Source organism: Homo sapiens, chromosome 9, assembly GCF_000001405.40.
Source record: "Homo sapiens chromosome 9, GRCh38.p14 Primary Assembly".
Taxonomy (NCBI): Eukaryota; Metazoa; Chordata; class Mammalia; order Primates; family Hominidae; genus Homo; species Homo sapiens.
Genome location: NC_000009.12, coordinates 38,185,629 through 38,201,160, shown reverse-complemented (window position 1 = coordinate 38,201,160; position 15,532 = coordinate 38,185,629). Strand labels below are relative to the sequence as shown.

Here is a 15,532-nt window from a genome sequence, read left to right as displayed (position 1 = left end):
GAAAATAGGGAGGCACCGGCCTGTCTCCCCCACCACACACACAAAGGATCCTGCACACAGAGCAGGTCCTTAGGAAAAGCCACTGGCTGCATAAGCCGCTTTGGCTGCTGCCTCTGTTAAGGAAGCATCTCCAGAGAACTGTTTCTAGTCTGTCTGAGCAGGGAGAACCTTGAAGGGTCCTGGAGAAGGGAACGGACTGAGCCGGGGTTTCACAGTGAGCAGGTGGGAGGCAGGACTTGCAAGCACCCTGGCCTCCTGCCTGCAGACTTATGCAGTCTCCAGTGCCCCATGGCCAAATATTCTTGCACTGTCTTCCTTGGATCTTTCCTATGATTTGTGCACATACTGCAGTGAAAATGGCAAAGAGAGATCCTGCAGGGATTGGTAATTTTTCACCGTGGGTGGCACTGAGACTTCCCTGTTCCCTGGAGGAGGGAAATGAAGAGTTGATTAAGTACTCGAAACATCCCTGCCTGTGGACTATTTAATAAGCGCCTCGCCTGTCTCTCAGCCATAGAGCAGACATTTGGTTCGCTAATCCAATTTGGCAAGCCTCTCCCAGGCTGCAAACGCTAGCTGCTGGGCGCCATTTTGTCTGATGTGTTAGAAATCAATGCAGGCTCCCTGCACTTGCTCTCACTACTGCTTGACTGATTACTAACGAGACCTCTCCCTTGCACAAGTCACCGACAGAGAACCCCTCTGTGTTCCAAGAAGCTCTGGGGACCTGGTGATCATCCAGTCATCCCCCTGATTCTCTTAGCAAGGAATCTGAATAAATCAGCAAAAGCAGGTGTGGGACTGCAAAATGTTTTCTTCCTCAACTGAACCAAGCTATGTTTTCCACTTAGCAGGAGGAAGTCTGTAAGAAGGACAATATTTTAGTATCTTCCATAAAAACCACAACAATGGCATTTTCATTTTGATATGTGATAGCTCTTACTCGGACGCAGAATTAGTGCTCGGTGCATCTGTTTCTTTCAACCAACAAGAGCTCTGTTAGTAAGGTTTCTCTTTGCCTTGGCCACCAGGAAGCTTGGATATAAATGCTGGTTCATAGTTTGAGATGCAGGCATATTTCTGCACACTCAGTGAGCTTTCTCACTTCCTTTTTAATAAACATTTTAAAGTCCTATATCATATGTGTTCCTTTAAAAAAATAAATGTGAATTTATCATTTTTCACTACAAACTTGCCTTAAGCTGTTGGAAAGTTCCCTTCTTTCCTTTTTATAGAGAACACTCTTGGAAAAGGAAGATAGAGTGAATGTTTATTTTTTGCCTCCATAATATTAGCTCCTCACAAGGCACAACCAGGATCTTCCTATGGGGTCCAGCACCTCACTCTTAGTCTAGTTGTTCTGGGCACTTTTCTACTCTCTGGCCTAGCAGTGGACATTGTACTTCTTGGGCCATGGTGATGGGGTTTAAGTGACACCTTAACGTAAGGTGGTCCAATAGCAAACATCAGAATTTCTGCTGGAAAATGCTAGGCAAAGATTTCTATCCTTTTCTGCAGGGTCTGAACGTAAAAAGACACAGGCTTAGGGACTGCTAAAAGCCATTTTGTGACCAAAAGGGAAAAGCCTGTCTGAAAATGAGTCAACCTTGAGGAGGAGGAACTGAGAGACAGAAACAGAGGTGCATCCTGACATTACTTGAGCGCCTATATCAAGTTAATCCTGAAGTTTGACAGTGCAGGGATATGAGAGCCAATACATTGACTTTGGGTCTGGTTTCCAGTGACTTACAGCTAAAAGAGTCCTGATAGTTTCTAGAGGTCAGCAAGGGTGTTAACTGCACCTCTGCCTCCAAGTCACCCTATCCCAAGCCCCCTCCTCAGGAGACCCTGTGACCAGTCTGGTATCCTCCCCAGGTAGGCAAAGACAGTCATGGTGTCACTAAAAGCCCCTTTAGTGTCCTGATACAAGTGGGATCAGTCCTTTTTTTTTTTTTTTTTTGAGATGGAGCCTCACTGTCATCCAGACTGGAGTGCAGTGGCACGATCTCAGCTTACTGCAACCTTTGCCTGGGTTGCAGCAATTCTCCAGCCTCAGCCTCCCGAGTAGCTGGGACTACAGGCGCGTGCCACCACGCCTGGCTAATTTTTGTATTTTAGTAGAGACGAGCTTTCACCATGTTGGCCAGGGTGGTCTCAAAGTTCTGACCTCAGGTGATCCACCAACCTCAGCCTCTCAAAGTGCTGGGGTTACAGGAGTGAGCCACCGCTCCCAGCCCAGTCCTTTGTTGATGATCTCTAGGCTTATGTCTGCTGATGGCTTGCAAGTCTATCTCCAGCTGGGTCTCTCTACAGTTCCCCAGCTGGTGCCTCTCGGCACCTTAGCCTCAGCATCTCCCACCACTGTGAAGGCACCTCTGTCCACAGCATCTCTTTTCTCACTCCATTCTGTCACCAACAAATTGATCACCAAGGCCAAGCAGACATCTACCAGATGTCTCTCGAATCCACTTCTGCTTCTAGTTTCCACTGTTTCTGCTTCAATTCAGGTCAAACACTGGTCTCCACATGGAAGCCTCTCCTCCAACTTACTCTCCACGCCTCCATCTGACAACTCCTCCTCAAGTGCTGTCCTTACCTTGCAGCTTCCCTGCTCATAACCCTCGAGGGCTCCCTCCCACCAAACCCCCCATCTGGAATTCAAGACCCTCGTGATCTGATCCCAAACTGTGGAGACTGTAGCAAAAAGCACATCTTTTCCCACAAATACCTCACTTCCCTTCTGCCATATTTTTGTTTACATAGTTTTAATTCCCTCTGTTTCTACTACTGAACTACTACGCATCTGTCAAAACCCAGCTCCAATGCCCCTCCTCTAAGAAAACTTTCTAATTATCCCTCTCTCACCTTAACAGTGGAATTGTAGATTCCCACAGACCTAGAAAAATTATTTTATAAAATCGCATAGGCCACTCTGACAATTTTAGGACCCAGGACAAGTAAAAGAGAACGCTTGTAGCCGACAGTGTCTGTACTCTTCTCTTTCCACCCTCCCCACAACTCCATCCTGCAATGTGAGGAGTCTCGTGCACACAAGCAAGGACCTTCAAGCCCTCACGTCCAAGCTCCACCCCACACCCGCAACAGCCCCTTGCCAACTCCCCCAGTCACTCTTTGGCCATCCCTTGGGGTTGGGGCACCATGGCTTGGGGGAAGAGGCCAATACAGGTCCTGGAAGCAGGCTTGGTCCCTTTGAGCAGGAAATCCCAGGGTGGAGAGTACAGGAGTGAGGTCCAGAGAGTGTGGGCTCTGGGTCGGCCCTCTGCCCTGTGGGGAGGGCACAGCTGGGCCCTCTACAGTCAAGCTGTCACACATCAGTGTGCACACGGATTGGGAGCTCCCACAAGTCTAACAAGCCCCCAGGGCACGAGACGACTGCCAGGCAGCAGCCCATGCCAGGGTCTAAACATGAGACCCGGGTCCAAGGGCGGATGGCAACATTAACTATATGGGGTCTTCTTTGATACATAATGGGTAAAATAAACTTGGAGCTGCAATTCTCCAGAATGCAGCTCAAAAACAGTAAGTTCACAGCAACGGCTTCTGGGTCTCAAAGCTGTGCTGTGCTTTACTTTTACAATTCGGTCTTGCTTACAGATTCTCCAGCAGCCCAGAGAGGCTGTGACTTGGCAGGTCGGTAGATCTGGGACCTCCTGCCTCTACTTCCAGGCCCTTTGTCTGCCTGGTGCTGTGAAGACTGACCAGACCCCGTGGAGCAAGTATTAGAAAGGAATCAGGTCATTTCCTGGGTACACGACTCTGCCAGTGAAAACGAGCCTGCCTGTCACCCCCACAGAGCCAGAACCACCCAAGGTGGAACCTTAAGGATGTCTCCCCAGGGTCTTTGCTTCCCCTGCACCATCTCTCCTGGATCTAATTGTATGTCTGCTTGAGTTGAGGAGTTCCAGACCAGCTTGGGCAACATAGCAAGACTTTGTCTCCACTTTAAAGTTAAAAAAAAAAAAAAAAAAAGCTAGACATAGTGGTGTTCACTATCATCCCAGCTACTCCAGCTACTTGGGAGGCTCAGGCAGCAAGATTGCTTGAGCCTAGGAGTTGAGGCTGCAGTGAGCTATGATCATGCCACCACACTCCAGCCTGGGTGATAGAGCAAGACCTTGTCTCAAAAACAAGAAGATAATTTCTTAAAAATGTATGTCCTCCCTAACTACTCAACCTACTTCTCCCTCAGCAATCTCAGACACAGTTGGGCCTCCTCCCAACTATTTGGCCCCCAGGCGAAAAAAATCTGGCATGAAGGCTGAGAAGCGGAGGAGGGGTAAGAGAGGGCAGAGTTTCCTTCCTTCTTTGTTGTGCCAGGAGTCTTAAACACCCCGTTGAGTTTAAATATGTATATATATTGCCTTAGAGTCACTGATCATCAGGACTGAAAGTACCCTAGTACAATTCTCTCACTTTAATGATGGGGAAACTGAGGCCCAGAGAGGGTGGTAGCTTGCCTGAAGTCCCACAGCAAGTTGGTATGGAGCCATGACTAGGACGTAGGTCTCCTCACTCCAGTCCTGTTCTTGTTCTGCCCCACACTGGCCCTTTGCTAAACTCACCCCTTGCCCCATGTGGCACAGAACAGACCTCCCCCTCTTACTACCTGGGTGAGTTTACAAAAGCCACTTACTCTATCTGAGATTCAGTTTCCTTACTGCTCAGAGGGGAAGAGCATTTCTTACCTGCTGGAGTCATGCAGGTAGAGGAGCCAGCACAGGGTCCAGAATGTGGCAGGTGGTTGAGCCCAGTGTGGGTCCTTTTCTTTGCCCATTATAAGCGTGACAAGGAAAGAAATGGTCCTCAGGTTAGCTTCCTATGGCTGCTGCAACAACTTGTCACAGAGTGTTAACAGCCTCGAATCTGTATGGGTCTGCAGCAACTACAGATTCTTAGCCTCTTTCAAGGAAAGAATTTGTCCAAGGGGCATAAGGCTGAGTGAGAGATGGAGGCAAGTTTTTGAGCAGGAGTGAGTTTATTAAAAAGTTTTAGAGCAGAAGGCCAGGTGTGGTGGCTCATCCCTGTAATCCCAGCACTTTGGGAGGCTGAGATGGGACCATCGCTTGAGGCCAGGAGTACGAGACCAGAGACCAGCATGGTCAACATAGCGAGATCTATCTCTTAAAAAACAAACAAAAATGTTTTAGAGCAGGAACAAAAGGAAGTAAAGTACACTTGGAAGAGAACCAAGCGGGTGACTTGAGGAATCCAAGTGGGCTGTCTGACCTTTGACCTCTGACCTTGTTTACACGTTGTCATGCTTCCTGGCGGTTGCATCTCTCCTCCCTTGATTTTCCCTTGGGGCAGGCTGTTCACATGCACAGTGGCCTGCCAGCATTTGGGAGGGGCCGTATGCACAGTGTGTTTACTAAAATTGTACACATGCTCACTTGAGGTGTTTTTCTCTTACCAGTTGAGAGTTCTCAGAGGAAGGTCACATGCCAGTTAAATTCTGCCATTTTGCCTCTTAGTTCACATGCTTGAGCCACTTGCCTCATCTTTTTGTGTGTTTTTTTTGAGACAGAGTCTCACTCCATCCGTCGCCCAGGCTGAAGTGCAGTGGCGAAATCTTGACTCACTGCAGCCTCCACCTCCCAGGTTCAAGCAATTCTCCTGTCTCAGCCTCCTAACTAGCTATGACTACAGGCGCCTGCCACTATGCCCAGCTAATTTTTGTATTTTAGTAGAGATGGGGTTTCACCATGTTGGTCAGGCTGGTCTCGAACTCCTGACCTCAGGTGATCCACCCACCTCAACCTGCCAAAGTGCTGGGATTACAGGCGTGAGCCACTGCACCCAGCCACTTGCCCGATATTATTGGGAAGTGGCTGATCACCAGCTTCAGGTGTTTTCTATCTATTGGGAGATTGCCTTTGCCTGGCACCAGCTACAACCAATTATTATTTTAGAGAGACAGTGTAACAACCAGCTGACTGTCATCTGATCATCACCTGACATTCCTGGTGGGTGTGTGGGGCATCTCCTGCCCTGCTCATGTCTGCCTAACTACCTATTCTAACAAGAGGAACTTAAAACAACACAGATTTCTTATCTTACAGCACTGGAGTCAGATGTCCAAAATGGATCTCATGGAGCTAAAATGTAGGCGTCAGTGTAACGGCCGGAACCCATTTCTCAAGACAGGGAAATTGCAATAGAGAACAAGTAATTCATGCAGAGCTGCAGTGCAGGAGACCAGAGTTTTATTATTACTCAAGTCAGTCTCCCGAGCATTCAGGGAGCAGAGTTTTTAAGGACAATTTGGTGGGTTGGGGAAAGCCAGTGAGCCAGGAGTGCTGATTGGTCAGAGACGAAATCATAGGGAGTCAAAGCTGGCTTTTTGCACTGAGTCAGTTCCTGAGTGGGGGGACCACAGGATCAAATGAGCCAGTTTATTGATCTGGGTGGCATCCCCCTATCCATCAAGTGCAGCATTTGCGAAGTATCTCAAGCACTGACCTTAGGGGCAGTTTAGGGAGGGTCAGAATCTTGTAGCCTCCAGTTGCATGACTCCTAAACCATAATTTCTTTTTTTTTTTTTTCATTTTGAAAAAGCTATTTACTTTTTTTCCAAATATTATCCCAAATAGGTGTTTTACAGATAAGGGTCAATATGAAGTCAAACATTCTACAGAAGAAAATCGTTTTTACAGACATTAAGAATAATTTTAACAGAAGAAAAAGCTCACATCTATCTAGATGTGGCTATGTTCCATGGGAAAATTTCAGCATCCAAAGTGCAAAGAAAAAATGACTGTAGCTTTTCTTACCACATAAAATATTGACAATCTTCCCTTATAGCCTACTCTTTCTCGTGGCTAATGTTAGTCCTACAAAGGCAGTCTAGTCCCCAGGCAAGAAGGAGGTCTGCTTTGGGAAAGGGTTGTTATTGTCTTTGTTTTAAACTATAAACTATAAACTGAGTTTCTCCCAAAGTTAGTTCAGCCTGCGCCCAGGAAAGAACAAGGACAGCTTGGAGTTTAGAAACAAAAGGGAGTCGATTAATTTAGATCTCTTTCTCTGTCTCAGTCATAATTTTGCAAAGGCGGTTTCATCGGTAGGGCTGGGTCCCCATTTTCGTGCACTTTCCAGCTCCTAGAGCCACCCACACTCCTTGGCTTGGGGTTCCCTCCCATCTTGAAAGCCAGCAATGGCGGCGAGTCTTCCGCACATCACCTCTCTCTGACTCTCCTCTTTTACTTATAATGACCCTTGTGATTCCATTGGGTCCCCCTAGATACTCCAAGACCTTCTCCTTCTCAAGCCCAGAGGATTAGCAACCTTAATTCCATCTGCAGCCTTCATTCTCCTTTGCCGTGGAATGTAACATATTCACAGGTTCTGAGGTTTAGGATGTGGAGAGCTATTATTCTGCCTATCACAGAATAGGCAGAAAAATCATTTTGGGGCTTGGGGCATCTGAGGAAAATCAAGGCTTCACTTCTAGAAAAATGTACATCAAAAATTGTGGCACATAATCTCAGGGGATTCACTGGCACCCATTCATGGGCCCCAGTCACGAACTCTTGAACTAAAAGGATAATGTGAGTCCTCCACCCTGTATGACATTTGTCATAGATTAGTTGTGTACTCCCATGTGTACATATGCACACGTGTGCATGAATATGCTTGTGCACTCACAAACACACACGTGTATACTGACTTATCCAGATACGTGAACATGTATACACATGTACCCGCCACATCATTTTCCTACAGAAATAGCAAGACTTTCTTTGGCTTCTCCTTGTGTGAGAGGAAGCCAGGAAGGCACAGGAAAAAAGTCTTCCCCTGCCTTTGCCTCTCCATCCAGCTCATTTCTCTCCTACCCCAAGGCCTGTGGGTCCGCAGCCCCTCTGGGCTTGTCCCTCTGCCTGACTGATCTTCATCAGTGGCCCTGGTAGATCTGATGTGGTGAGTGCGGGCCAGCCCTGGCTGGCAGGTGCCCTGTTGCTTGTTTTGCTGCAGCATGTTTGGCTCGCAGAGCAGCTTAGGGTGCTACTCTGTGTTTGCATTTTCAGAGTGGTGTGCTTTTAGGGTTCCTGGCCCTCACACCTGTGAATTCAGAGCCAGAGATGCAGTCAACAGAGGCTAGTCACAAGGAAGACAAGAGGGTTAACTGCAGCATGCACCTGCATGTACAAGAACACTCACTTCTAGGGCCACCATCCACCCCCCATGCCCCCCCGCCAACTGCCGCCTGTGCATCTCCAGGATGGCAGGTCCCAGAAAAGAGGAAGTCACAGGGAAAAGAGTGGCCTAGCTCCTACCTCAGCAGGACAGACATATACTGTTACCCCCAAGCCCACCTCCCACAGATGCCCCCCTCTCACCCCCACCATGCCAGGCTCCTCTGAGAGCCCCACTTCTTCCCCAGCCTCTGGGATAAGCCATCAGTCACTCTTTACCCTGCTTGAGTCCTGCTGCTTGATCGAGTGACAGACGCTCCAAGTCCCAAGGGTAGAGAGGTGAGAGAGAGGATCACTGTGGTCTGGCCTCAGGTGAAATACTGAAAAACTCTATCATGCTTCTGAACCTACAAAAGACAACTTCTTGCTGAAATATCTCCAGTAACTGATTATGTTAAGAGAGTATATCTCTCCTTCCCAGCCTTGAGCCAGTCTCTCAAAAATCTGCTTTCTTTGATTATATTACCTTTGAAAGGGACAGGGTCTAAGAGAGGAGGGGAAACTAATTGAGCCACCCAGAGGGGGATCCCTGTGGTGGTGCAGGGTCTGGTGGGGCCTGCATCTTCCCAGAGAAAAATGTTGCTCTCTGATCTATGGGGAATGCAGTAAACCCTTCTGGCAGCTCTTCAGAGGACAACAGTCTACAACCAGTTGGTGACAATGACCCTCCATGCCTGCATGGAGGAGGAGCAAGGGGGCAGGTGGCATCTGGTCCCTCTCCCCTCCCCACCTCACTGCTCATGCCAGTTAGCTGTGACAACCACTGGGCCCAAGGACAATGGCATGTTCCTGGAGGCATGGCTTGGGGAGCACTGAGGAGCCACCTAGGACTTCCCACACTCACTCTCTTCATCCAGGCTATGGCAGCTCTGGCTGGAAGTGACGTAAGAGAAATGGGGGTTCCCAGCTTGAGATGGAGGTGTGGCAGGGAAGATCTAGATGTGGGGAGAAGGGAAAGGAGGCTGGGAGAAGGTCACGGCCACAGAGAGAGTAGGAGGAGAAGGCAGTGTAGCAGAGACTACTCATAGCCAACCTGATCACGATTCCCCCTGCTTCCTGGTTTTCCAGGAGTTGACAATGTGCCCAGGCTCCACCGCAGCCAGCAGCAGCCAGAGGATACAGTTAAGGCCAAGGTGATGTAAGCAGAAGCCATTTGAGGGGAGTTTCCCGAGAGCCTTTTTAGCACTGTCTGTCCTTAGACTCTGCTCTGGGCCTCCTGCTTTAGAGGGCCTCACTCGAATGTCTCTCTCTCTCTCTCTCTCTCTCTCTCTCTCTCTCTCACACACACACACACACACACACACACACACACACACACACAGACACACACAGAGCTATGGTTTGAATGTGTACCCCAAAGTTCATGTGTTGGAAGCTTAATCCCCAATGCAGTAGTGTTGACAGGTGGGACCTTTAAGAGGTGATTAGGTCATGAGGACTCTGCCTTCCTGAATGGGCTAATGTCACGGTCTTGAGTTATCAGGAGTGGGTTCCTGATAAGGAAAGGGGTTAGGCACCCCATCCCCTTTCTCGCACACTCTCGCATCATCCCTCCATGTTAGGATGCACCAAAAATGCCCTCACCAGAGGCAACCCCTCCATCTTGGACTCACTAAGCCTCCAGAGCTGTAAGAAACAAATTCTTTTTCTTTATCAATTACCCAGTCTCAGATATTCTGTTATAGAAACACAAAACAGACTAGGATGGCCACACACACACACATAACTATTTCCTAACAAACATAAAGGTGGTCTCTATCATCTGGGATCAGGTCCTCAACACAGACACAGTGCAATCCATACCCCAAATATTCATTCTTATCAACACCACGCAAGCCCAGGGATACACACGTTCACAACTCTTGCCCTCCCCTATGTCCTTGAAACACTCTGAGCCTGGAAATTTTGCATCTCTGTGCCTGAGGACATTGGAGGTAGATGCTGCTCAGAGAGCAGGAGGATTTGAATGGCAGAAGAGCTTAGTTAATGGAAAAACACAAGTTGCTTGTTAATTCCTTCCCAGCAGATATCATAGGTTTAATATTCCTACACAACAAATTAGCATTTCCCAGTTGTCCCAAACATCTATTTTCTTGCTTCTCCTCAAGTTCTAGCCCACTATTCTGAAGGTTCTTACCAATTACAGGGCATTCATGGCAATTGTATCTGGCAGCTGAAGAACATGTTGCCATATTCAACAACTCACATTGCTCTGAAATCTGCAATATGTAGGTATAAGCAGAATTGCATGAAGAATGATAGGAAGCCTTTCTGCCGGCAATCACATAGATATTGAATGGTAGAAGGTCAAGTTTTATTTTCATAGAAATGTTTAATAAGATTTATTTAAATTTGTTAGAGTTAAATAAAATTTAGCTTTATTTAAGTAATGTTAATATGCATGAATTAGAATTAGCATTTTACTTTTTTAAAATTTTTTTAATGTGAGATGGGTAACGTGCCAACGTCGTATCAAGGTTCACAAGGGTGACATCTCACACATGCACGTGAACACACAATCATGCTTGTGAACTACAAAAGAATCTTACCTTTTAATTTGTTAAATTATGACTTCTTTAGGAAAAAACTTCTCTAGAAGATGTACACAAAAAATAATTTTAATTATTGAATTTCTATGTTCACTTCTTTTTCTTTTTTTTTTGAGATGGAGTCTCACTCTGTCGCCCAGGCTGAAGTGCAGTGGTGCAATCTCAGCTCACTGCAAACTCTGCCTCCCAGGTTCAAGCAGTTCTCCTACCTCAGCCTCCCGAGTAGCTGGGATTACAAGTGTATGCCACCACACCTGGCTAATTTTTGTATTTTTGGTAGAGATGGGGTTTCACCATGTTGGTCAGGCTGGTCTTGAACTCCTGACCTCAAGCAATCTACCTGCCTTGGCCTCCCAAAGTGCTAAGATTACAGGCATGAGCCACCATGCCCAGCCATCTACGTTCACTTTAACTGACACTTCTTAATGAAAATAGATTCAAATTTTGTATATTTTGACTATAATTACATTTTTAAAAAATACTTTAGATCAGGGGTTGGCAACTTTTTCTTAAAGATGCAGAGAGTAAATATTTTAGGTTTGTTGGCCATACAGTCCCAGTTACAGCTACTCAGCTCCGCCACTGTAACATGAAGACAGCCACAGACAACATGTAAAAGATGGAGCATGATTGTGTTCCTATAAAATGTTTTAAACAAAAAACAGGTGGCTGGACTGCAGGATATGGTTGACCAATCCTTGCTTTAGACAAACAGTCCCCAACCTTTTTGGCATCAACAACAGATTTCCTGAAAGACAATTTTTCCATAGACCATGGTTGTCGGGGAATCATTTCAGGATGAAACTGTTCCACCTCATCAGGCATTAGATTCTCATGCAACCTAGATCCCTCGCATGCCCTGTTCAGGATAAGATTCACACGCCTATGAGACTCTAATGCCTCAGCTGATCTGATGGGAGGTGGGGCTCATGCAGTAATGCTTGCTCACCTGCCGCTCACCTCCTGCTGTGTGCCCCAGTTCCTAACAGAGAGCTGGTCTGCACCTTGGGGGTTGGGGACCCCTGCTTTAGAGCATTACTGTCAATAGAAGACAAATTTGTGAAAATTTTGTTATTAACATAATTATTGAATTTTGCTCAGATGATAGAAAAATAATGTATGGAATAAATACATCATGACTTTTGAATTATGTATACCTTGGTTTTATTATACTACCTTGGTCTCATTCAGACTTTGCCAGCTCATCAACAGAATCCCAGATATATTCAGTCACAATTAAATTCAATTGTCTTTGGTGCTTCGTGACTTCCAATCATAGAAAAATTATAGCTCAATTCCACATTGAATTTAGGTGCAAGAGAAAAAAAATACAGCTTGACATGTTTTTGCCTTTGTCATTTTGAGGGTAGGAAGATAAATATATAAACAGATAGTAGTTGGACCTCCCTTTGTACTTTTTTTTTTTTTTTTTTTTGAGACAGAGTCTTGTTCTGTCGCCCAGGCTGGAGTGCAGTGGTGCGATTTTGGCTCACTGCAATCTCCACCTCCTGGGGTTCAAGTGATTATCCTGCCTCAGCCTCCTGGGTTCAAGTGATTATCCTGCCTCAGCCTCCTGAGTAGCTAGGACTACAGGCATGTGCCACCATGCCCAGCTAATTTTTTATATTTTTGGTAGAGACAGGGTTTCACTATGTTGGCCAGGTTGGTCTCGATCTCCTGACCTTGTGATCCGCCTGCCTCAGCCTCCCAAAGTGCTGGGATTACAGGTGTGAGCCACCTCGCCTGGCCTTGTACTCTTATTGTGGGCCCTGCAAAAGGCAGGAGCAGCCTGAGACCTTTAAGAGGGGACAGACTTGGCTGACTTTCCCTTTTGCCTTCTTCCTGCTGCCTCCTTCCCCTTCCCTGGGACATGGATGTAACTGTCGGATTTTGGCTGCCATCTTGTGACCATGAGGAAGAGGCCAAGTGAATGGCAGAAACTTAGGCTTGGCCACCCCCAAAACTGCACCAAACCCAATTCAGAAACCACCCACCCCCAGGCCCTTACCATTTGAGGGAAATGAATCACTATTTGATTAAGTCATTACCCAAAATTAGGGTTTTCTGTTACAAGCAGCCAAACACAAATTCCTAGACATAAATTCCAACAAGGGTACGGGGTATGTGACTCTCATCCCACTGCTTTTCTGATGCATCTCTCCCAGCTCGCAACACACTGACATGTTCATTCATTCATTCATTCATCCAATAAGCATCCACAAGAGTCTATTCTGGTCCAAGGCGTAGGATAGTGCTGTGCCTACCATGAGGAACTGGAAGAAATGTAGGGAGAGATTGCCATAAGGAGCTCACAGCCTCATGACAGAGACAAGATGGAAACGGTCGTAGATCCTTGCTTTACCTACAGTGTTAATTAGGACACAGGTCCAGATGTGTCATCAGGAACCCAGGCTAACAGAGGCTTAAACAAAAGAGGAGATCATACACAAGAGAATACTCTTAATCCATAAAAAAAAAAAAAAAAAAAAATCCTGTCATTTGCAACAACATGGATGGAACTGGAAGTTATTATGTTAAGTGAAATAAGCCAGGTACACAAAGACAAATATTGCATGTTCTCACTCATTTCTGGGAGCTAAAAAGTTGAACTTGCGGAATTCAACTTTTTAGAGTAGAATGATGGTTACTAGAGGCCGGAAAGAGTAGAGAGGGGGATAAAGTGGGGTTGGTTACTGAGTACAGACATATAGTTATGTAGAAGAAATAAGTTCTCGTTTGATAGCACAATAGGATGACTATAGTAAACAGCAATTTATTGTATATTTCAAATCAGCTAAAAGATTTGAAATGTTTCCAATACAAAGAAATTATAAATGTTTGAGGTGATGAATATCTTAAAGACCGATTTGATCACTACACAGTGGATGCATGTTTCAAAATATCACATGTACTCCATAAATATGTACAATGACTACGTATCAGTAAAAAAGAGAAGTTAATTTCTCTCAAGTGTAAAAGTCTGGGCTGGTATAGCAGCTGTGGCTCTAAGGTTGTCAGGGGCCCAATTGTAACTACCCAGTGGGTTCACCTTGCCCGCTGCCTAGACAGAGCTGATTTATCTTTATCAAGTCGGGAATTGCAACAGAGAAAGAGTAATTCATGCAGAGCCAGCTGTGTGAGAGATCAGAGTTTTATTATTACTCAAATCAGTCTCCCGAGCATTCAGGGAGCAGAGTTTTTAAGGACAATTTGGTAGGCTGGAGGATGCCAGTGAGCCAGGAGTGCTGATTGGTCAGAGATGAAATCACAGGGAGTCAAAGCTGGCTTCTTGCACTGAGTCAGTTCCTGGGTGGGGGCCACAGGATCAAATAAGCCAGTTTATTGATCTAGGTGGTGCCCCCTGATCCATTAAGTGCAGCATTTGCAAAGCATCTCAAGCATTGATCTTAGGAGCAGTTTAGGGAGGGTCAGAATCTTGTAGCCTCCAATTGCATGACTCCTAAACCATAATCTCTAATCTTGTGGCTAATGTTAGTCCTACAAAGGCAGTCTAGTCCCCAGGCAAGAAGGAGGTGTGCTTTGGGAAAGGGTTGTTTCAACTCCCTATGATTTCATCTCTGACCAATCAGCACTCCTGGCTCCACTGGCTTCCCCCTACCCACCAAGTTATCCTTAAAAACTCTGCTTGGGGAGACTGATTTGAGTAATAATAAAACTCTGGTTTAATGCACAGCTGACTCTGCACGAATTCCTCTTTCTCTATTGCAATTCCCCTGTCTTGATGAATCGAGTCTGTGTAGGCAGCAGGCAAGGTGAACCCCTTGGGCGGTTACAGGAATTGAGAACGCCAGACTTCAGTGGAAATTGAACGCTGGCCCATCTGCTAGGTTCACTGGCTAGCTCTGAATCTTGGTTCAGGAAACTGGCCTCACAACTCAGGATTCCAGTCCATGACCTTTCAGGTCTTCAGAAGGAGCTAAAGCTGTGTGTTTATTGTTAAGCCTATGAATCATAAATTTTTTGAACCAGAGTGAGTGTTATGATAGACATCTGAGTGAAGCTGTCCATTTTGATGTGGCTATTTTTATTCAAAGGACATGTTAATGTGGTACTTTTAACCCAGGTCATTTGGGGCTATATCAAAATGTAAAAACTGTTTTCTGTGCAAGCCACCTTTAATCCTGCCCTCCTTCCCAGCTTCAATCCACTGCTTGCTCTACTCCCTCCTCGCTATTGTCATTCAACTGCAAAATTTATGGCCTTAGCAAAGCGCCCATAATAAGTGGACCCTAGTAAAAGATCTGTAAATCCACCATTCCTCTCCCAAGGGAAATTTAATAAAAACGAACTCAGATAAAAACACTCATTAAGAATCGAAACAAAGATTGATAGTGTTTAATTTATAATTAATACATGTCTTTCTTTCTCTAGGATATTTGAAAATATTTTATTCTCATGATTTTTGACCAGTATCGAAGTGGTTCCACCAATTCTCGTATTTTAATAATGCCTGTGGTGTCTCTTTTCTTTGTACAAAGAGATTATATTTGAGGTTTCTTTTGGGTTGGTCCTTGGACTGGCAAATTTCCAAATGGCTTTGACTGAGCCATTTGGAAAGCTAATTCTTAGCCATTACCTTTCATTTTCCTTTCACTAGCTGACCTAACATAGGTAGAAATAATGAGGTTTTGTGGGGTTTATTTTTGACAACTTTAGTGGCTTTAAATGTCTTTAGCCCAATTTTTAAATGGTTGCAGATTTTAAGGTGTATTATCTACTAACACATCAAATGGAACCTCTGGGTCTTTAGTT

General features: G+C 45.7%; 1 non-coding gene across 1 annotated transcript; it reads right to left on the bottom strand.

The window, feature by feature from the left end:
- Positions 1-10,653: 10,653 nt before the first annotated feature.
- Positions 10,654-10,754, bottom strand: LOC124902348 (small nucleolar RNA U13). Its single transcript, XR_007061924.1, has one exon. It is a non-coding gene; the product is annotated as a small nucleolar RNA U13 (small nucleolar RNA).
- Positions 10,755-15,532: the final 4,778 nt, after the last annotated feature.